At 36.8% G+C, this 23,586-nt stretch overlaps 1 gene, besides 1 other annotated feature; it reads right to left on the bottom strand.

Moving 5' to 3' along the window:
* The window catches only part of IGL (immunoglobulin lambda locus), an 896,838-nt gene that overhangs the window by 766,924 nt on the left and 106,328 nt on the right, over positions 1-23,586 (bottom strand).
* Positions 182-324: a silencer, noted in NCBI's record as "fragment chr22:22510059-22510201 (GRCh37/hg19 assembly coordinates)". NCBI's record gives its function as "represses an EF-1alpha promoter that drives an FKBP-Casp9 reporter gene in an ReSE screen in HepG2 liver carcinoma cells {active_cell/tissue: HepG2}" and the evidence as "EXISTENCE:reporter gene assay evidence [ECO:0000049][PMID:32094911]".

Below are 23,586 nucleotides of genomic sequence, written 5' to 3'. Positions count from 1 at the left end.
AGCATAGGACTGAGGCTTGATCCAAGGGTTTGAGTGTAGTTTCCCACTTGTATTTTTGTATTTGTCCCTGTGGTGATATTTCAGATCACCACACCGAGCATGTAACACTGGGCCTCATTCTTGGTCTAGTCCTCATTATAACCAGAGTGGCTTTTTCTTCATGAAGAGAACCAGGGGATTGTGCAGGGGTCCCAGGACCTGACTGCTTGTGCCCACCATTGCCCTGGGGACATTGCCAGATGTTCTGTTGGGCCCAGCTGTCGAGATGCTCTGATGACAGCCCCAATTTTGGAGCCATAGGTGAAGGTGACTGCCCCTCCAGGAGTTGTGGAAAGTGAATGTTCCTGTGTCACCACAACCTGGGAAGTAACTCCTGAACCCAGAGAAAGGAAAGAGATGTCATCAGGACAGGAGAAAAAAATCCCAGAGCATACAGACACCCAGTAGTTTCTAAGTAAATATGTTTATTACTAAAAAAAATCATTGAGCCAACAAAACACATATAAATATCTACCTGCCTCTATTTTGTGAGTTAAAAAAAATAAGATATGATTTCAGTGTTCTTTGTTTCTTTGGACTATAGTTACCATCCAAATTCTCAGCCAGGAACAGCCTAGAAACATCCTAGTTTCTGGGAGTCAGCCTAGAAACATTTGGGAGTCAGCCTAGAAACATCCATATCCTTCATGCACAAAGTCCAAGTCCTCTCCATGCCAAATGTATTTTATGACATAAAGGTATCACGAAGCTGCTTTCTGCTCTTCATTCCAACTCTAACTAACCTAGAGCCACCCACCATCATCTCCCCATGATGGTACCAGCGCCCCCAGCTTGTCTTCCTGTCCCAGATCTTCCCCATTTCATTCTCATTACAGCTGGAGACTCACTGACCAAAGGCCATGTGAGCTTGTCCCTGCCACCTCACAGTCCTTCAGTGACTCTGTGAGCCCTTCTCGGGGGCTCATTCTACTGATCTGCCTCAGCCTGCCTCTCAAGCTCACAGCTTCCCTTCAAGGAGCTCCTCCTGGCCCCTTCCTTGATCCAATGACCTTAGGCTCAGGCTAAAGTCACTTTTCTCACTGACTGTAATGACCAGTGTCTCCTTCTATGGATTCTCACCTCTGATGAGATGTTCCAACACTCCCCCTCCACCTATCTCACTCCTGCTCATTCTGAAAGTCACACATGAGACTCTACTCCTGTGGATTAGGCCTCTTTGGCCAAATCCCCACTCACCCTCACTTCCACACCCACATGGACCATCCCCCTCATGGGTTTTCTGTTCTTTATGTCTTCCCTCTCAGCTCCTGTTCAGTGGCTGATGACAGCATGCAAAGACAGAGCCAAAGAGGCACAGTTGTTACATCTCTGTTTCATGTTTTCAGTTAGGAAAATATAATTCTGTCAGATGAAAATTTACTCATACAACATCTGGGGCCTCTATGTTCTCAGCTTGGACACTCCAAAACCCTCCTTCTCAGAACAGCCCACAGCACCCCCTGCTTGGTCCACAGCCACAATCCCTCCAGGGCCTATGACCCACCTGAGAAACATGGGTAGCAGATTCATGGTTATGCTGAGCACCTTGAACTAACCTGGTTAGGGGCCCTGAAATATCGGGCCACACAGAAATAGAAGACACCCTTTTGTCTTCTCCAGGAGGGACATTATAGGTGCCTTGGGATTACTTGGGTCTGAAGAAGAAGGTTCTTAAAGTGATAGGAAAGATTTCACAATAAAGAGAAGTTACTTAAACACAACAGCTCACTTGACTCATTGGAAAGAGAGTTAAGGCTTGAGGCAAGAGGTACTTACACCTAAATGTGCACCCAAACCACTGGCTCTTTAGAAGTTGATAATAGCCCATGAAATAGACAGAGAAGTCCAAGTGGCAAGAGGACATTCCCCACTAGAGTCTACCTCACCCTTCATCCATAACTTTCTCAAACACCTCAGAATTCCCAATGTGGTGCACTTTTGCGGTCACTTTTCCTGAAGGCTGCCCACCTTACACATGTATCTGGGCCTGAGTGGTGGCCAGTGAGAGGCTATTTTTGAGGGTGAAGCATCGATTTGTGGTCTAGACTTCATGTACTTGCTGCTCTCACCCCTCACAGCCTGCTCCAGCCTCCAGACCTTTGCATCTGCTGTTCCCTCTGCCTGGGATGCCCCCACCCCTCCCACCCCAGCTCGGCTCACTCCACCACTTCTTTACATAGGTTTTATTTCCATTTCTTTGTTTTCAAGTGGAAAGTCACAAAATTTATTACACTTATTATCTATTTATATTTTCCCTGTATAAATGTCTATTTCTTTCATTTGTTTTAGTTTGTTGTGGTGGTGGTTGTTGCCAATTTGCAAATGTTTTCTATGAATCCTAGATGATGCCTTTTCACAGGGTAACTATAACTTCCTGGTCTGTTGCCTCTGATAAATGTTCCACTAAATTTCTTCCTTTAGTGTTTATTAATATTTATTAGTCTAACATTTTTGTGTAATTTTTTTTTGAGAAGGAGTCTCGCTCTGTCACCCAGGCTGGAGTTCAGCGGTGTGATCTTGACTCATTGCAAGCTCCGCCTCCCAGGTTCACGCCATTCTCCTGCCTCGGCCTCCCGAGTAGCTGGGACTACAGGCACCCGCCACCACGCCCGGCTAATTTTTGTATTTTTAGTAGAGACAGGGTTTCTCCAAGTTGGCCAGACTGGTCTCGATCTCCTGACCTCATGATCCGCCCTCCTCAGCATCCCAAAGTGCTGGGATTACAGGCGTGAGCCACCGCGCCTGGCCTCCTTTCCACTTAAAGGTAAGTGGCCTACCCATCAAATCAGCATTACTCAATAGTTTATAATGGGCTCTCTCTGTCCTTTGATGAAAAAGGGAATTCAGCTCTGGACAAAAACCCAAGATAATGAGCTTGGCAACATAAAGCAACTTCCTTTTATGAAATCCACTCACAAAATAAATGTGGTATAAAAATTAAAGACAAAACAGTAAGACAGCATTGATTCATTGATCTCAGAACTAATTCCAACTATATAATATTAACAACACTCATGATCTGAAATTTAAGCTGCAGCTAGCATCATGTAACAACAAGTTATTTAATATCCTCAATTACAGTAATATTGAATTTTAACAATTGAAATTATATTTTCTAGAGCACTACAATGGGAATGTTTTTCAAAGTGTAATATTGGAAATTATCAGAAGGTGAAAATTTGTTCACATGAAGCACTGTTCATTAGTCATTCAAGAATATGTTTACAATAAATCAAAACAAGTCTCATGTTAGTTGCACCCAACTTAGAGTTCCAACCAATATGAAGTAAAATCTGGGTGAATTAGGTTACTATTATCCAAAACTCTCAACTGTGTTTTTTTCCTGTGCCCTTTATTCACGTATCTCAAGAAAATAAAAATAATCTAGGGCTAAAAGAATGAGACTGACTCTCAAAATGATGGCTCGCAATGACTAAAGATACAATAATTCAAAAAATATTAAGCATCTACTATGAACATTGCACTGCACTGGAACAGGAATTAAAAGAAATTAAAGAATGTGTAAGCAGAACCTCAGTTGTATGTAAGAAAATCCAATTCCCCCTGAGAAAGAGAAAGAGCTAGAGTCCTTTAAAAAACTAACGGCCTATTTTTCTGTGGCTAATGAGCTTTCTCTCCCCTCCATTCCCAGGCATTGTGAAGACCCTGATTCCCTAGCTGGGCAGCTGCAAAGTCACTAGACACATAAACAAAAGTCGCAAAACATGTTTTTCCTTGAAAAGTAAGAAATGATGTAACGCATTTCTCAATTAATTGAATAACTGTCTTTGTTTCTCACTTCTCTAACATGCTTCCCCCTGCACAGATCTCCTCCCACCCTACAAAATGCTTAAAAGGTAACTTAACTCTTTGTTCAGGGCTCAGTCCTTTGGATGTTAATCCGACTGGGCTGGTGCACCTAAATAATAAATATCCTCCTGAACCCCATCAGTCTCTCTGATTCCTTAAAAAATATCCTGCAACAGCACTAGACCTGTGAGAAGTAGATATGAATAACATATTTCTGTCTTTAAGTCATCTATCATCCACTGTAGCAGATACTTGATAGATATAGATACTACTAAATAGTATGATGTTATGCACACACACACACACACACACACATTAAATAACTATAATATTATTTTCAGTTGCTAAAGGAAAAGGAGGCATCGGCATCAACTGTTTTCTAGAAGACAGACTACTGGCTTGGGTTAAAGCAACTGAGAAGGCTTTTTGAAGGGAGTTGAATTTGATATAAATTTAAGAGGGCAGATATGTGAGCTGGGAATGGCACTGCAGATGTAGGGAACAGTATGTATACAAATAATAAGTTTTAATGTAGAGAACATATAGAAAAGGACAGATAGCAATGTTTTTTTGTAACAAAGAATAGTAATGAAAGATAATGCTGAAAACAAAGATTTGATTTAGGTGTGTCTTAAGTTTCTGCCCCGTGAGTTCTTTATTTTATGCTTCTCCTCCAGCAATGTGCGTACTTTATATTGTGTTGCACCCCCAATGACATCACAAGTAGAAGTGCTTTTAAATATTTCTTCTACCTTAATATGGAAATACTCCATAGTTTGTACTCATTAAGTATATAGTGGCTATTGCCAAATCTGTGAAGCTTACAGCAGTGCTTAAATATCACAGAATTAATAAGCAAAATTAATCTGTTAAGGCACATAAAATGGAAACTTCAATGAACAACTTTTCCTAAAACACCAATTATATTTAATTTTCCACAACACTATAATAGTCTTAAGTTTACAAATCAATGGTCCTTGAAACTATTAAAACTCATCTTGATATATTACAGGAAACCTTTTCCCATTTGTAATAAACAACATGCAAATTTATGATGACATAATGCTGAAAATGTATAGATTAAAACACAAATTTTATTTGTGACCTTTATCTTTCTAAACAAGAGCTAATGGTTAGTCCCTACCTTTGCTTTCTGAAAGCGCTTGCATCAATAATTCTTTATTAAAGTTTCTCTTGAAATCTTTGCATTAGTCCTAGTTAGAAATTTTGGCTTCAGCTTGCAACTATCATCTTTGTCAAGAATAAGTAATATACAGTTGAAGCTTATAATTTTTATTTCTACCATTTCTCAGTTATTTTAAAGATACAATTATTGTCACATTCATCAATATTTTAAATCATGGAGTTTGTTTTTCCTTCTTCTTTTCTTCTGTTTTTCTCTGTTCTATGCATTCAACATGTATTTACTGCAGTGAAACAATTGTTTCAAGTTCTGAGTCATCTTTCACAACCTCCATATATTTTATATCCTCCTGTTTTCATATTCCAGGCCTTTACCCCCTTTAAAACAATTAATGTGGGCAAATACAACTAAAAAGTTATGATCCCATTTCGGTCTTAATATCCACTATTTCCCCCATCTACTGGATTATACTGCTGCCCCAGTAATTCTTTTGAGGTAATAAGCACTATCATACAATTATCAATCTCAAAAAAGTTAATATTTATTTTGTCCATACTGAGTTTTTAAGGGTTTGACATGGTGGGAAAAAATATTAGATAAGTATGAGAAACAATTTAAAACTACAGCACTGAAACTTAGAAGTTGGCCAGGTGTGGTGGCTCACGCCTGTAATCTTAGCACGTTAGGAGGCTGAGGCAGGAGGATTGCTTGAGGCTGGGAGTTCTAGACCAGCCTGGTCGACAGAGCAAGACCCCATTTCTAAAAACAATGGAATTGCTAGTCATGATGCTGTACACCTGGAGTCCCAGCTAATCAGGAAGCTGAGGTGGGAGGATCCCTTGAGCCCAGGAGTCCAAAGCTGCAATCAGCCATGACCTTCCAGCCTGGGTGATGGAGCCAAACCCTTACTCAAAAAGAGAGGGAGAGGGAGAGAAGTTGGAGCCTGGTATATAGATTTGAAAGTCTCACAAGTAACCATCTATCTAGCACTACAGCAAAACCAAGATAAAAGGAAAAAAGACGCTAGAATAAAAATTTTTTGAGACATGGCCATTAGAAAATAGGTGCATAAGTGAGAGAAGAAATAATCTCAGTTTAGAAAGAAAACCAGGAAGGTGAGAGTTCTTTAAAGTCATCTACTGAATGTTGAAAAAAATGAGAACTGATAAAAGAGCAGTATATTCAATGTTACTGTTTAATAATAAGTGAAAACATGCTTTAAAATTCCTGTGAAGCTAAACAAGTAATTTTTTGGTTGTCCAAAAACATAAATTGCTCTTCTTCAAAGATTATTTATATAATAGATAACCTCCTTTAAAGTTCTATATATTAGGTGTCAAATGCCAAAAATCCAGCAGTTATTCTCCTGTTCCCCATATTCATGGTAGAGATGACAGATTACTTTGAAAACTCAACTGACTGTAGTAGATATTAAATGTACACTTTTTTTCCTGTAGCGGGATAGATGTGAATTTCTGGTTAATAAGTCAATAATTTTACCTTACCCTGTAATGAGAATTGTCTTACATTTTTAGGCAGTACTTCGGCAATTACTGCCTCTCTTTCATAAAATAAGTGATCACTGCCACTAAAATTTGTGATCAAATTGTAGATGTGTAATAGTTTTATTTTTTAGTGTTATGACCTGCTGTAACAAATAATACCATCTGTTATACTAGTCATAATATAAACACTTTAATATAGACCCTTACATACCAGTTGCTGAAGTCAAGATATTGCTACTGGCTATCAACTATTTGGAAATTACAGTAAACATATTTTATCTGTGGAAACTCACAAATTCTATCACTAACACAAGAGGTGATTAGCATTTCATTTACTCTAGGGTAGGAGTTGAAAGCAAGAACAGAAGGTACTGCATTTCAAACATATTTTTAACATCTGCACCATCATATTTAATAAAATGTAGAGATGTATGTTATGCCTATCTTTTGCTGAAACCCACAAAACTTCAGCATTCAAATTTCAAAAAAGAGTAGATCCTAATTTTATAAAAGCAATTGCTTTTAGAGATACAAAGGACGATAACATCTGGGCTCTTTTAAAAACTTTTTGATTGGAGATAGTTTTTCTTCCAAAGCATGCTACATGTAATACAGGACCACGTTTCTTTTAAAAAGTTTCTAGACAAAGAACTCAGACAAGAAAAATGTCTATATAATCATCAGTGTGCTGTATTGTTGAAATGACTTTAGGGATTTTGTAGCAGCATGAATTGTTCTGACTTCGAAAATTTGCTTTTATTTTTATAAATAGGAGCTCATGAGCTAGTAATCAAATAGTATTAAGAGGCTTATAATAAGAGCAAAAGAATAATGGCAGCTTGCTTAACACTTCTCTATGCTGTAGTCCCGTTCAATAGAGAAAGCAATGTTTGGCTCTTTTATCTGGTGCTTTTGGTAATTACCTTGTTTTTAACCTAACATGCTGATATTGTTATCTTGATTTATCAATTTTAAACATTACCTATTAACTTTCTATTATAATACCTACATAGGAATTAGGACAGGTGCACCAATTACAGGACTCTATTCCCACTGTTCTCTCGATGTGTTAAATCAAATTGGTTTTGGTGAAATCAGTATTTCATAATTACATTATGATGACTATGTAAATATTGTTCTTAAGTTTACATTTGTAGCACAGTATCCTCATTTTTCCTGAAGTTTAGAAGATTGTCAGTGATAATTTCAAACTTCAGATATACAAAATAATCAACATATTTGAGTTCTTAATATGTTTAGATGTCACTCCTCCACCCTTCCATCCTTCTGCTCCCATCTCACTGGTTGCTCGCTGACTCCCTATTTTTGCTTTTCTCTGTTGGACTTCTTGTTCTCAGATTGCACGTCATTCTCCTTTATTTAAATACCCCATATTTGTCTAAGTCTTTTGTTAAGTTGTATATATCATGACCCTTTACCTCTAAACACTTCTGTATTTCCTAAAAATAGGAATATTCTCTTACTTAACTATAGTATGGTAGTCAGATTCAGTAAATGTAACATTGATACGATACTTTGATGTAATCTACTGCTAGTATTCTGATTTTATCAATTGAGTCAATTCTTTATAGCATGATTTTCCTCCAGTATTGCATGCAGTCTAGAATCATGTATTGCAATTAGTTGCCATGTCTCCTCAGTCCTCTTCAATATGGAAAGCCTCCTAAACCTTTCTTGCCTTCCATGACAATTACATTTTTAAAAGATACAGTGGCCGGGCACGGTGGCTCACACCCATAATCCCTGCACTTTGGGATCACCCGAGGTCAGGGGTTCAAGACCATCCAGCCTGATCAACATGGTGAAACCCAATCTCTACTAAAAATACAAAAATTAGCCAGGCGTGGTGGCGCATGCCTGTAATCCCAGCTATTTGGGAGGCTGAGGCAGGAGAATAGCTTAAACCCAGAAGGTGGAGGTTGCCCAGTGAGCCGAGATTGCGCCATTGCAACTCCAGCCTGGGCAACAAGAACGAAACTCTGTCTTAAAAAAAAAAAAAAAAAAAAAAAGAATACAGTTCCCCGACCCCCGACCTTTTATTAATAGAATTTTCTCATTTTGTGGTTTGTCTTATGTTCCACTGGTTTTAAAATTGTATTTCTTGTACCTTTCCAATAGCTATTTCTTATCTATTTTTCATATTCTTTTTTATTTTTTCTTGCTCCAATATCGGTTGTATTTTTCCTGTTCTTTGATTCCAAACATTATTTGTTTTATCCCAGTCCATTTTAGTTGTTACTATAGGTCTCAACTACTCATGCTGTCATGCTGAAATTTTGCTCAAATGACTGATGATCTTTTGCCTTCTATTTTAGAAGGGGATTTTAGGATGGGAGCTGGGATAGTATAATTGGCTACTGGTGGTGTAGAAACTAAGGAGGGGAAGAAGGTTACAGGTCCTTTGATTAGGTATGTGAACTTCTGATAATAGCGCTGGTCAAAGTCTAATGTTTACCATGTTTAATTCACAGAATAGTATATTTAAGATTCAAGGGACTCAGGGAAAAGAAAATGATGAATGGAGAGACCATTGCCCACTGTGGGGTAAGAGAGCGCGACCGTTTAGAACTTGATGGATTTTTCTCTTTTCAGAACTGCACTTTATCCCTGCCTTCCAAAACACTCAGTTTTTCCAAGTGGTGAGCTGCTCACAGCTTCACTGGATGATGTTCTGATGTCTTGTAGGGTCTTCACACTGTGGGCACATAGGCAGCACTTTCTCAGTCCTGCTTCATCAATCACTTCTCCATCTGCTTCCCATCCTTCACAATTTATTGAATTATGGCACAGTGATTGAGTGTATGACTTTAAAACAAGACTACTTGGGTTTCAATACTAACTTTGCCACTTACTGAATATGTGACAATCAGCAAATTGCTTAACGATTCCTCTTCTCCATATTCTTATCCAGAAAATGGAGGTAATAATAGGAATGTTATGGATGTCAACTGCTCTCAATTCTATTACTGTCTTTCCTACTCTCTGTACTTCAGGTTTTTTGCCTCTATAAATTGACTTCTTAAAAATTACTTTGCCATCATTTGTCTGAAGTTTGGAGAAGGAAGAGAGATTGATGCGTGTTGTTAACTCATCGGCCTTTAAGAAAAATTAATCCTTTTAATTTTACACTCTTAATTACTTTGTCATTTCTTTTCCTGAGCAATGAACTACTATGTAATTTATAAGTTCCCTTTAACACATTTAATTTTATATTAAGACCAGAAAAAAAAATCAGGATTTTTTATCTTTATAAAAAATACTCATTCTATTTTCTAAGATATTTTACTACAATTAATTATATGTATAAGGGTCATAAACTATTAAATCATTTATTTTTTGAGATACTGCTAGTTGTGTAAGAATTTATGTTAAGCATGAATTAAGGACACATTCTTAATATTATATAAGATTACAAAAGGGATTTTTTTACTGTATTAAACAGGTAAGCAGAACCTCTATAGTCTATGCACATTTTATAAAAATTGAGTTAAATATTTATAAAATGAAAGTTAAAAGCAGCACTTTTGAAAACCAGTTAATAATGAACAGCCATCAAGGGAGCTATCATTATAACAGCAAAATGCTTTGCAACTCCAATAGCGTCAGTGGTGGAGAACCAGGTCAAGCTTAATTAAGAATAGTCAAAGATAAACTGAGAAACTGAACTATAAAAGGCTGTCCTTGGCCAGGTGTGGTGGCTCCTACCTGTAATCCCAGCACTTTGGGCGGGGGATGCTGAGGCAGGCAAATCACCTGGGGTCAGGAGTTCAAGACCAGCCTGACCAACATAGAGAAACCCCATCTCTACTAAAAATACAAAATTAGCCAGGCGTGGTGATGTATGCCTGTAATCCCAGCTTCTTAGGAGGCTGAGGCAGGAGAATCATTTGAACCCAGGAGGCGGATGTTAAGGGCCATTACACTCCAATTTGGGCAACAAGAGCAATACTCCATCTCAAAAAAAAAAAAAAAAAAAAAGGTGTCCTTTGCAAGGAGCTGAAGGCAAAAAGAAAGCAAAGTAGAACCTTGAAATTACCAATGAATTGGTAAGCCTTACTGCCTGGAACTTGTAATTCGCTGTCAGATTTTAGTATCAATTAAAGTAGATTAATAGAGCAATCATTTATTCTCTTATATCCCTCTTCATCATCCCCCTGTATAGGCTCCCATGAAAGCTGGAAGCCAGAGTGGGTCAAAAATTCAATTCATTTCTCTGCTCAATCACTTTTTAATAATGCTGGCATCTACATTTACTGGACACCAGAATTCTGATTTCTTAAAAACAGGAATATATGTAGTTATTGACAGGCTATAGCCCTCATTTCCAAAGAGGCTTAACTCCTTTTTATTCAACTGAGGAAAAAATTCCCTGCAATGTGAGCACTGAGCAATTTACATCTCCTTTTACCACTAGGGGCTACCATGGTGAAGTGAATAATAAAGAGGATATAACAAATTTATTATTACTTTAAATGCTCAGATTAATGTAGATCTGCAGAAACAGTACCACAAGGACAAAAAAAAATTACCCTCGATCATTTTATTTTATAATAATGTTCCTCAATGAAGCTAAAGCCTCCCTGCTGTGACTTTCTTTTTTAAACATCAGTGACAAATAGATTCCTCCAAATTGTAAGACAGCTCATGAAATAGCAGGAATATTTCAGTAAAGGATTAATTACTTTTTAGCAGTAATTTTGAACTTTAAATGACTATAGCACAGCCTATGTAAACAAGAAGACAGATCAGCTTATTAAAAAGCAGTGTGCAGGCCGGGCACGGTGGCTCACACCTGTAATCCCAGCACTTTGGGAGGCCAAGGCAGGGGGATCACAAGGTCAAGAGATCGAGACCATCCGGGCCAACATGGTGAAACCCCATCTCTACTAAAAATACAAAAATTAGCTGGGCGTGGTGGCACATGCCTGTAGTCTCAGCTACTCGGGAGGCCAAGGCAGGAGAATCACTTGAACCCAGGAAGAGGAGGTTGCAGTGAGCCAAGAAAGCAGTGTGCAGGTTATCTAGACCACAAAAAGCTGAGATAAACTGTTCTGTTTTCTTACACTCTTTATGTCTGCACAGTGTCTCATCAAAGAGCAAGTACCCAAGACACTGTTTTAGAAGATGCAAACACCAAAACTGAAAACAGAATTTTGTCACCAACATAAATGTGAAAACTGAAAACATATCTAGGAAATTTGAAAATTGCTTATGGGTTAAATCCTACTCATTGTAACCTGATTACAAAATCTTTGATTATGATAGAAACTGCAAGGTTTAAATGAAGATAGACACAGGAAAAGAGTATAGATGTTATAAATGTAGCATATTATTATTACATTTATGAAATACTCTGATTTGTCAAGTGCTTTTATATCCATATGTTACTCAATCCTGGCCATAATCTTAGTAAGACATGAGTTCAAGCAGGCATTGATATCTTACAAATGCTGCAGTAATGAAGACTGAGGCTCACTCAGGCAGGTTAGATAGTTAGCACCAGGTTATACGAACAGCCGAACCTACCTAATAATGTAGCCAATTGTTCTTTCACTTTAATATTTATGAGAACTTCCAAGTTTTAAAATGCAAATCATTAAGCTGTAATACAATCAGCCTTGACAGAGAATACAATTTTCATTTCCATCTGCTGCATTCAGGCAGGAACATCTTATCTGTGCAAGTACGGGAGTTACATGAATCAATGGGCCTTTAGAAAATGCAAGCACTTAGGTGTGCTTCATTTGAATGACTGTCCACATTGCGCCCCTGTAGGACTCCACAGCGATCTAAAGGATGGATAACGGAGATCACTGTAAGGAAGCTGTCTGGAAAGCTTCTTCAAAAAGGGCGCATGAGTTGAAAGACACATTCCTTTTTGTGTGGGGACTTTCCTTCCTGAAGAGAGACTGAGTTGGGGTGAAGTTTGGGCCAAGTAGTCAATTCAATGGAATTGACTTCAAGAGAGATATAACTGGGGGTCAAGGTGAGGGAGTCGTGAAATGAGTTAGAAAAATGAGAAAGGATCTTTGAAGGCTGGGATTACAAGAAAAGGGAATAAGTAGTACAACTGAGAAGGGTGGATATGTTTTAAAAAGTGCTCAGATATCAGTGTGATGAGTGAAGTAATAATTAGGAGCAAAAAAACTAAAAAAAATGAAGCTTATTTTATATAAATCAAATATTGTCATTGATTTGGATATTTTCACTTTTTAAAGCTATTTTCAGTTATTTAACATTAGCAAATTAAAAGCTGCCAGATATTATTTTACCTCAGCATCAAAATTAGTATCAATTATTATACTGATAATAGCAAAAACAATAATGGCATTCACTGGGTTGTGACTATATATGCCAGACACTTTCCTAATGACCCTATGGTATTAACTATTATTTATAATAAAGTTATTACTTCTATTTTAAATGTCAAGATAATAACATACAGCAACTTTGGGTAACTTGCCCGAGAGAAACTACAAAACTAGGAAATGGCAGACTCAGAAACATTTAGCTCCACAGCATTTACTCTTACCATTTTTTAGGCCATTATCTGTAAATAGTGATCTGCTTGCCCATTTGCATTTTGGTAAACCCAAGAATTTATGTAAATTTTACATCAGAATGATACCGCTTGAATATTCACAAATTACTTTGGGTTGGAACAAAGCCTGTTTTGCTTTCTGAGATAACGGGATGTAAACGAAAAAGTGTCTGAGACAGATCTCTTATCAATTTAGAAGTTTCTTCTTCCAAGGTTAAAGACATGGCTGGGCGACAGAGGTCTGTGCCTTTCTCCAAAAATATTTTAGGGTTTCAGTGTTTAGAAGAGAAAAGCAGGCTGCGGGGAAAAGAGGGAGAGTATGGTCACGTTGCTGAATCCACATGTTGCAAGAGAAAACAAACAGGTAAAGGAATAGTCAGTTATATATTTTTCTCCTGCTCAGTAAATCAGCACTTTAAGTAAGATGAGATGAACATAGAGTAGCTACCTGTGGAGAAATTTAACTATTTATCAGTAGCTGTCTGCTCAGGAAAAAAAAAGAAAGGCAGTTTCTTGCATGACTCAGCTTTCAGCTTAACTTTTCCTTTTGGCATAGTGAATCGGCATTCCAAGTTTTTATTTTCCTTTCTCAGGGAAGAAAACACATTTTGTATTTTTTGTATGGTGATCATTTTGTTATGAAATTCATTAATAACACTAAATGACTATCCATAAGAATCATGATCAATTGCCCCAGTGCCCTCCTCTGTCCTGCTGGTATCTGTTCTTGTGGACTGTGTTATAATCACCATTTTGACCAGTGTGCTTTTGATTTGCATTTCTCTATTAACGAGGTTGAGCATGTTTTCATGTTTACTGGTGGCTGTTACATCTTTTCAGCAGTGTGTATTCATGTCTCTAACCATTAATTGGACTTTTTGATCTGATTTAAGGACTTAAGGTAGATCGTACATATTAGACCTTTGTCAGATGTAGTTTGGGAACATTTGCTTCCATTGTGAAGGCTGTCTGTTTACTCTGTTGGTAATATCTTCTACTGTGCAGCCACTCTTTCATGTATTAGGTCTCACTTGTCAATAATTGTTTTTATTTCTATTGCTTTTAGGGACTTAGACATACACATGCTTTGCCAAAGCCTTTGTCAAGAAGGGTATGGCCTAGGTTATCTTAAAGGATTTTCATAGTTTGCGGTCTTGCATTTAAAACTTTGATTCATCTTGAGTTAATTCCTGTATATGGTGAGATGCAGGGGCCAAGGGAGGGGAGATTCTATTTGCATGGAGGGTGACAGACTTACACCTTTGCTTACATACACAAGAGTTAGAATCCATGCTTGGGTAAGTACTTTGAGATCGTATGAATACAGATATCATGTTAGAGCGGAATAATTATGAAAATGTCTTCTTATGTATAGCACTCTGTGCTTTTTAAATTGCTTTCACTGCTGTCACATCAAACCTCTTCACACTTCTGTAGGATAGATAAGGCGCAATTATTTCTCTGTTATGTAGATGGGGAAACAGAACTAGGCAGGGGTAGTGACCTGCCCAGTCTAACAGTGTTTGAGTGGTAATCAGGACTAAAGTGGAGGAATTTTCATTTGAGAAGTTTAGCAGTGAGAGTCCATCTTAGGTTTTTGGACCAATGGAGAGATCTCTGCTTTTCTGTTGGATACAACTGACAATGCTAGAAGAGATATTCACTGGAGGGAGGCCCCAGGGAGGAAATAAGGAACAAACCTTCTGCCTGTATTAAGCATTTACTGTCACAAGTGTAGTCGTACATGTTCCAAGATCACGGATGGGAAGAAAGAGGAGCTCTTCACCCTCAGCTCCAAGAGAAGTGAGGATGCTTTGGGAACAGACATCATTGTAAAATCACGCAAATCTGAGTGTGCTTAAGGGATTTTATACCAGGTGGTCTTAGGTTCTAGTAAGGTAAGAGGTAAGGTCAGGCATCTACCAAGAGTGCATGAAGGATCGGGAGCTTGGAAAGTGTGAAGAAAGTTTGAGATAGTTGTTGTGTGCTTAAAATTAACTAAAGATGAATCAAAGGACTGACCCCTTTCATTGACAGCAGGGACTTTGTTATCTCCTGTATCCCCAGCACCTAGTATACAAATTGCATGTAGCAGGTGCTTGGTAAATATTTGTGGAATAAGGCAGATCAATAATACCATGAGGCTGACTAATCCTGTGCTATCCCCATAATAGTCTTCAACTTCTCTTCACTTTTCCATTCATTTCCCTATATTATTTGAACACATGAATGAAGAAAGGAGTGAGTTCCTCACTGAACTACAAGTCTTTTTAAGAACAGGAGGTAACATTCCCTGCAGCTCAAGTTTTATGCGTAGAGGTTAAAGGAAGTAGAATAATGTGGAATGGTATCTGCCATTTTTATATCCATTCTTTGAGAACTGAACAGTGACCTTTTTTTAGAGACAAGATATGTCCCATCATTCTAGGCTAATGGTTTGTGGGTCATAGTTCCAATGGCTATTAGAAGGTATGATGTGCCTGCTTGCATTCTAAATCTTTCAGTTTTTATTTCTAACCTGCTGAGTCCATGGTTACAATCACTAAATTAATCACCTGTTTGAAATTTGCTCTCATTTTTATTTATTCATTCATTTATTAATTCATCTACTTACCTGTCAGCATGAGGAGACTCAATAAAATGTGGTAGAGTCATATAAAGGAACGCTATAGAAAATACAAAATGTATGAAACACAGACCAATTGTATCAAAGTGGAGAAAACTGGAAAATGTAAGTCTGAGCACACAAAACAAAGTTGCACACAGTGATGTACACTGTAGAACCAATTATATAAAAGGTTAGGACACAGAAAAAATTCTGCATATTATTTATGGCCATTCACAAGAGTAGTAAAATATTTTTCATGTGACTAGGAATGAGAAGCCACTAATTCTTGGTGTTTCCAGGACCTATGCAATTGTTTTTAAAACAAGCCTAACCCTCAAATCTTTCAGAATCAGTTTTAAAACACTGTGTCTACTAGTCATGAATATACGATTATTTTTTCAGTTTTAATAATCAAAGATCACACACACATACACACATACACACACAGCTGGCTCATCAGAGTATCTAACTGGCTTAAGATTGGTTTGTAAATGTCACATCTCAGATTCTACAAAAAGTGTGTTTCAAATTTGTTAAATCAAAACACAGGTACCATTCTGTGACATAAAAAAAGGATATCACAAAGTGATTTCACAGGTTGTTTGTTTCTTATTTTTATGGTTAAATATTTGCATTTTCTTATAAGGGCTCAATTCATTCTAAAACATCACTACTTATATTCTACAAAAAAAAAGTGTTTCAAACTTGTTTAATCAAAACACAGGCACCATTCTGTCACATGAAACAGCACAACACAAAGCATTTTACCAGATAGCTTTTTTCTGGTTTTTAGGAGTGGATATTCGTTTTTTGTTTGTTTTTTTACTAAGGGCTCAATAGGCTCAGAAATGTCACTTCTTAGATTCTACAGAGTGTTTCAAACTTTTTGAATCAAAACATGGTTATCATTTTGTGACATAAAACAGCACATCACAAATAGTTTTCAAAGATAGCTCCTTTCTAGTTTTTAGAATCTGATATTCATGTGTACCTATAAGGGCTCAAATGCTCAGAAATATAACTTCATAGATTCTGCAATAAGTATGTTTAGAAACTATTTCAACAAAACAAAGGTTCAATTCTGTGATAGAAAACACATCACAAAGGATTTTCACAAAAAGCTTGTTTCTCATTTTTATGGCTAAATATTTGCATTTTCTTATAATGACTCAATAGGTTCAAAACATCACTTGTTAGATTCTACAGAGTGTTTCAAACTTGAATCAAAACACAGATTCCATTCCATGACACAAAGCAGCATATCACAAAGCATTTTCACAGATAGCCTTTGCTTGTTTTTAGGACTGGATATTTGTATGTTTCTATAAGGGCTCAAGTTTGAAAATGTCACTTCTTAGATTCAAGAGTGTTGGAAACTTGTGTGTTGTTCAACTCAAAACACACGTTTCATTCTGTGACATAAAAAAGCACCTCACAAAGTGTTTTTGAGACAGTTTCCAGTTTTAAAACTGGGTATTTGAGTGCTTCTATAAGGGCTCCATAGGCTCATAAGTGTCACTGTTAGATTTTACAAAAAGAGGGTTTGGAAGTTGTTTCATCAAAACACAGGTTTCATTCTGTGACATAAAATGCAAATAACAAAGTATTTTCACAGATTTTTCCTAGTTTTTGTGGCTGGATATTCATATTTTCTTATAAAAGATCAACAGATTTGTAAATGTCACTACGTAGGTTCTAGAAAAAAAAGTGCTTTGAACTTGCCAAATCAAAACACAGGTATTATTCTTTGACATAAAACAGCACACCACAAAGCGTTTTCACAGCTAGCTTGTTTCTAATTTTTATGGCTAATATTTGAATTTTTTATAACGGCTCAATAGGTTCTCAAATGTCACTTTTTAGATTCCATAAAAAGAAAGTTTCAAACTTGCTGAATTGAAACCCCAGTACCATTCTGAGACATAAAACAGCATATCAGAAAGCGTTTTACCAGATAGCTTGTTTGTAGTTTTTAGGATTGGATATTCGTATTTTCCTGTAAGGGTTCAATAGGCTCCAAAATGTCACTTCTTAGATTCTACAAAAAAGTGTTTTGGAAGCTGTTTCATCAAAATGCAGGTTCCATTCCATAACATACAACAGCATACCACAAAGTGTTTTCACAGATTGCTTGCTTCTAGCTTTTAGGGCTGAATATTCGTATTTTTTAATCAAGTCTCAATAGGTTCAAAAACTTCACTTTTTAGATTCTACAGAGTGTCTTGAACTTGTTGAATCAAAACATATGTATTATTCCGTGACAAAAAGCAGCACATCACAAAGCATTTTCACAGATGGCTTGCTTCTAGTTTTTAGAACTGGATATTCATATGTTTCTATAAGGGCTCAATAGGGCCAGAAATGTCAACTATTAGATTCTAAAAAAAAACCTGTTTGGAAGCTGTTTCATCAAAAGGCAGGTTCCATTTTTATGACATAAAACAGCATGTCACAAAGCGTTTTCACCAAGAGCTTGTTTCTAGTTTTTGGAACTGGATATTTGTATGTTCCTATAAAAGCTCAATAGGCTCAGTAATGTCACTTCTTAGATTCTACAGTGTTTGAAAGTTGCTTTGTCAAAACACAGGTTCAATTCTGTGATATGAAACCACATCACAAAGCGTTTTCACAGGTAGGTTTTTTCCTAATATTTAGGACTAAATATTAATATTTTATTATAAGGGCTCAATAAAAATAGAAAATGTCACTTCCTAAGATTCTACAAAAAGAGTGTCTGGAACTTGTTGACTAAAAACACAGGTTCCATTCTGTTACATAAAACAGCATGTCATAAAGCATGTTCTCAGCTAGCTTGTTTCTAGTTCTTAAGACAGGATATCCATATGCTCCAATAAGGGCTCAAGAGGCTAGGAAATGTCACCTTTTAGATTGTATAAAAAAGTGAGTGGAAGCTGTTTCATCAAAATGCAGGTTCAATTCTGTGATATAAAACAGCACATCACAAAGCATTTTCACAGAGAGCTTCTAATATTTATGACTAAATATTTGCATTTTCTTATAAGGGCTCAATAGGTTTGAAAATGTCACTTCTTACATTCTACAAAAAGTTTTGAAAGTGTTGAATAAAAACAAAGATTCCATTTTGTGACATAAAGCAACATGTCACAATGCAATTTCATAGCTTTTTTTCTCATTTTTAGGACTGGATATTCACATCTTCCTATAAGGGCTCAGTAAGATTGGAAATGTCACTTTGTTAGATTCTACAAAAAGAGTGTTTGGAACTTGTCAACTCAAAACACAGGTTCCATTCTGTGACATAAAACAGCACATCACAAAGTGTTTTCACAGATATCTTATTTCTAGTTTTTAGGGCTGGATATTCATATTTTCTTATAGAAGCTCAATAGGTTTGGAAACATCACTTCTTACATTCTACCAAAAGAGTGTTTCAACTTTGGTGAATCAAAACACAGGGACCAGTCTGTGACATAAAACAGCACTTCACAATGCATTTTCACATATAGCTTGTTTCTAGTTTTTAAGACTGAATATCCATATGTTCCTATAAGGGCTTAACAGGTTTGGAAATTTCACTTCTTAGATTCTACAGAAAGAGTGTTTGAAAATTCATTCTGTGATGTAAAATAGCACATAACATTGCATTTTCAGAGATAGGTTTTTCTTCTCATTTTTAGGAGTGGATACTTGTATGTTCGTCTAAGAGCTCAATAAGCTCAGAAATGTCACTTTTTATATTCTAGAAAAAGTGTTTAGAACTTGCTAAATCAAAACGTAGTTTCCATTTTGTGACATAAAACATCACGTCACAAAGCATCTTCAGAGATAACTTGTTTCTAGTTTTTGGGGATGGATATTTTTACTTTTTTAATAAAAGTTCAATAGGTTTGGAAACAGCACTTCTTAGATTCTACATCAAGAGTGTTTTGAACTTGTTGAATCAACACAGGAACCGTTCTGTGACATAAAACTGCATGTCCCAAAGCATTTTTACAGGTAGCTTGTTTCTAGTTTTTTGGGACTGGATTTTGCATTTTTTTTGTAAGAACTCAATTGACTTGGAAATGTCACTTCTTAGATTCTACAGAAAGAGTGTTTGGAAGCTGTTTCATCAAAACTCTGGTTCCATTATTTGATATAAAAAAATACATCACAAAGCATTTTCGACAGATAGCTTGTTTCTCGTTTTTAGGGTTATTCATATTTTTTATAAAACTCAATAGGTTTGGTGACATCACTTCTTAGATTATACAAAAAGAGTGTCTCACAGTTGTTGAATCAAAACACAGGTACCATTCTCTGACATAAAACAGCATATCACAAATGGTTATCACAGATAGCTTGTTTCTAGTTTTTAGGACTGGATTATGTATATGTTCCCATAAGGCCTCACTGCCTTAGAAACATCACTTCTTAAGAGTCTACAAAAAAAGTGTTTGGAAACTGTTTAATCAGTATACAGGTTCAATTTTGTGATATGAAACAGCAAAAAGTGTTTTCGCTGATAGCTTGTTTCTAGTTTTTATAGCTGGATATTTGTATTTTCTTATAAGGGCTCAATAAGGTCAAAAACGTCACTTCTTAGATTCTACAAAGAGTTCAGAACTTGCTGAAACAAAACACAGGTTCCATTCTGTGACATAAAATAGCACATCACAAAGTGTTTTTACAGATAGCTTGTTTCTAGTTTTTATTACAAGATATTCATACGTTACTGTAAATGCTCAATAGATTCGAAATGTCACTTCTTAGATTCTACAAAAAGAGAGTTGGGAACGTGTTTTTATCAAAATGCAGGTTCAATTCTGTGTTATAAAACTGCACGTCAAAAAGTGTTTTCCAAGATAGCTTGTTTGTAGACTTTAGGACTGGATGTTTGTATGTTCCTATAAGGTCACAATAGGCTCAGAAATGTCACTTCTTAAGATTCTACAATAGTGTTTTGAATCTGTTTCATCAAAACATAAGTTCATTTCTGTGATATAAAGCATCACATCACAAAGTGTGTTGACAGATAGCTTGTTTCCAGCAGTTAGGGCTAAATATTCATGTTTTCTTATTATGGCTCAAAAGGTTTGGATACATCACTTTTTTAGATTCTACAAAAAGAGTGTTTGGAACCTGTCTCACAAAAACACAGGTTTAATTCTGTGTTATGAAACAGCATAGCAAAAAGTATTTTCAGTCAGGCATGGTGGCTCACGTCTGTAATCCCAGCACTTTGGGAGGCTGAGGCAGGCGGATCACGAGGTCAACAGATCAAGACCATCCTGGCCAACATGGTGAAACCACATCTCTACTAAAAATACAAAAATTAGCTGGGCGTGGTGGTGCACGCCTGTAGTCCCAGCTGCTAGGGAGGCTAACGTAGGAGACTTGCTTGAACCCAGGAGGCAGAAGTTGCAGTGAGCCGAGATCACACCACTGCACTCCAGCTTGGCAACACAGCAAGACTCTGTGCCAAAAAAAAAAAAAAAAAGCATTTTCACAGATAGCATGTTAGGACTAAATATTCATATTTTCTTATAAGGGCTCAATAGGTTTGGAAATGTCACTACTTAGATCCTACAAAGAGTGCGTTGAACTTGCTCAATCAAAACAAAGTTTCCAATCTGTGACACTAACAGATCAGAAAGCGTTTCCACGCATTGCTTGTTTCTAGTTTTTAGAGGAAAATATTCGTATTTTCTTTTAAAGGCCTCAGAGGTTTGGGAATGTCACTTCTCAGATTCTACCAAAAGAATGTGTTGAACCTATTGAATTAAAACACAGGTTTCATTCCGTGACATAAAATAGCACATCCCAAAGCATTTTGACAGATAGCTTGTTTCTAGCTTTTAAAACTGTATGTTTGTATAAGGGCTCAATAGGCTCAGAAATGCCACTTCATAAATTCTACAAAAAAAAGTGTTCAGAACCTGTTTAATCAACACACAGGTTCAACTTTATGATACAAAACAGAACATCACAATGCATTTGCACGGATGGCTTGTTTCTAGTTTTTAGGACTGAATATTTCTATTTTTTAATAAGGGCTCAAGAAGTTCCAAAACGTTACTTCTTAGATTCTACAAAATGAGTAATTTCAACTTGTTCAATCAAAACACAAGTTCAATTTTATGATATAAAACAGCACCTCACAAAGCATTCCACAGATAGCTTATAGCTTATTTCTAGTTTTTACAACTGGATATTCATATTTTCTTATGAAAGCTCAATAGGATCAAAATAATCAATTCTTAGATTCCACAAAAAGAGTGTTTTGAACTTGCTGAATCAAAACACAGGTTGCATTCTGTGACATAAAACAGCACATCAAAAAGCATTTTCACAAATAGCTTTTCTATAGTCTTTGTTTGTTTGAGACAGAGTTTCGCTCTTGTTGCCCAGGCTGGAGTGCAATGGCGCGATCTCGGCTCACTGCAACCTCGGCCTCCCAGGTTCAAGCAATTCTCCCACCTCAGCTAGGAACTCCATCAAACAAACCTGCCTCCCATTTTATTTCTAAATAAGATAACTATTATTTGGCTTAGTGGGGTGTCCCGGAGATTTATTTTCCTTTAACAAAGGATATGAAATTATCCTGCTCTGCTCACTATAACTTTTCTGTATTGAAACATCACTATGTCCCTGTGAGTATATACAATTATTTGTCAATAAAGAAAAAAAAAACCCAAATAATAAAATAAAAAAATAACTACAAAGATTTCGAAAGCTATATACCTCCCTCATAATTTGTCAGAAAGGAAATTTCTTGTGGGCCTCAAGATCTTTACACTAAAACAGTTCTGTTGAATTTGACCCTGGCAATATAAATTGGCAATTGATAGATTATCTTTACAGGTGGGGGACAAAGGACAGAACCCAAAGTCATCCCTCTCCTCACCTGAGACAAATGTGTATCTGATTGGCTTTCTCTGCCCAGTTTTTTATGTAAAAATGCAGATTCACTAAGCCAGACTCAGGCATAAGTGACTATTCCTCTATGGCATCTTGCATGTAAATTGTGTATTCAGTGAAAGGATAATCAGAAACTCAAAAGAATGCAACCGTTTGTCTCCTATTTACCTATGAACTGGAAGCACCCACCCCCAACCCTGCTTCAACTTGTCTCACCTTTCTAGAGAGAAGCAATGTACATCTTACACATATTACACTGAAGTGTAATAAAATGTAACAAAGAGAAGTTTTCAGCCTAATGAGCTAAATAATTTTTAAAAAGTGGAAACTGGGTTCAAAGAAATTCAGTAATTATATTAAATGACACCAATAATGTGAGCTCGATTTAAGAGTACCCAGCAACACTTAAATTCTTATGAAAGCAAATGCTCTATTGGTTCCGTTGGCTTTGTTGATTACATATCCACTAAGGTATTAAAAATATTCAGCACCTTAGTGACCAGTGACCCCACTCCTGAGTTTCTAATTTGAACAACTTCTAAATATCCAAATCATATTTTTAAGTAATATAGTACCCGGAAATCAAAGATTAAATCTAAGCTACACTTAAGCTTGATCACTTCTCCTTTATTACAGTTAGAAACATTCTTTGTTTTATAAATTTTTACTTATTTTGAGACAGGGTCTCACTCTGTTATCCAGGCTGGATGGAGTGCAGTGGCACGATCTCGGCTCACTATACCCTTGACCTCCCAGGCTCAAGCGATTCTCCTGCCTCAGTCCCCCAAGTATCTCAGACTGCAAACACATGCCACCACGCCCGGCTTATTTTTATCGTTTTTGTAAACATGGGTTTCGCCATGTTGCCCATGCTGGTCTTGAACTGTTGAGCTCAAGCAATCCACCCGCCTTGTCCTCCCAAAGTGCTGGGATCATAGGTGTGAGCCATTACGCCAAGCCTTTATTTTTGTCTGTCCTATTATGTAGCCCTTTACTGTTTTCCAGAGAGGTGAAGTATTTTGCACATATGCATTAT

The sequence above is a fragment of the Homo sapiens genome, chromosome 22, assembly GCF_000001405.40.
Source record: "Homo sapiens chromosome 22, GRCh38.p14 Primary Assembly".
Lineage (NCBI taxonomy): Eukaryota > Metazoa > Chordata > Mammalia > Primates > Hominidae > Homo > Homo sapiens.
The sequence above is the reverse complement of the archived record's forward strand: the minus strand, read 5'-3'. Positions and strand labels throughout refer to the sequence as shown.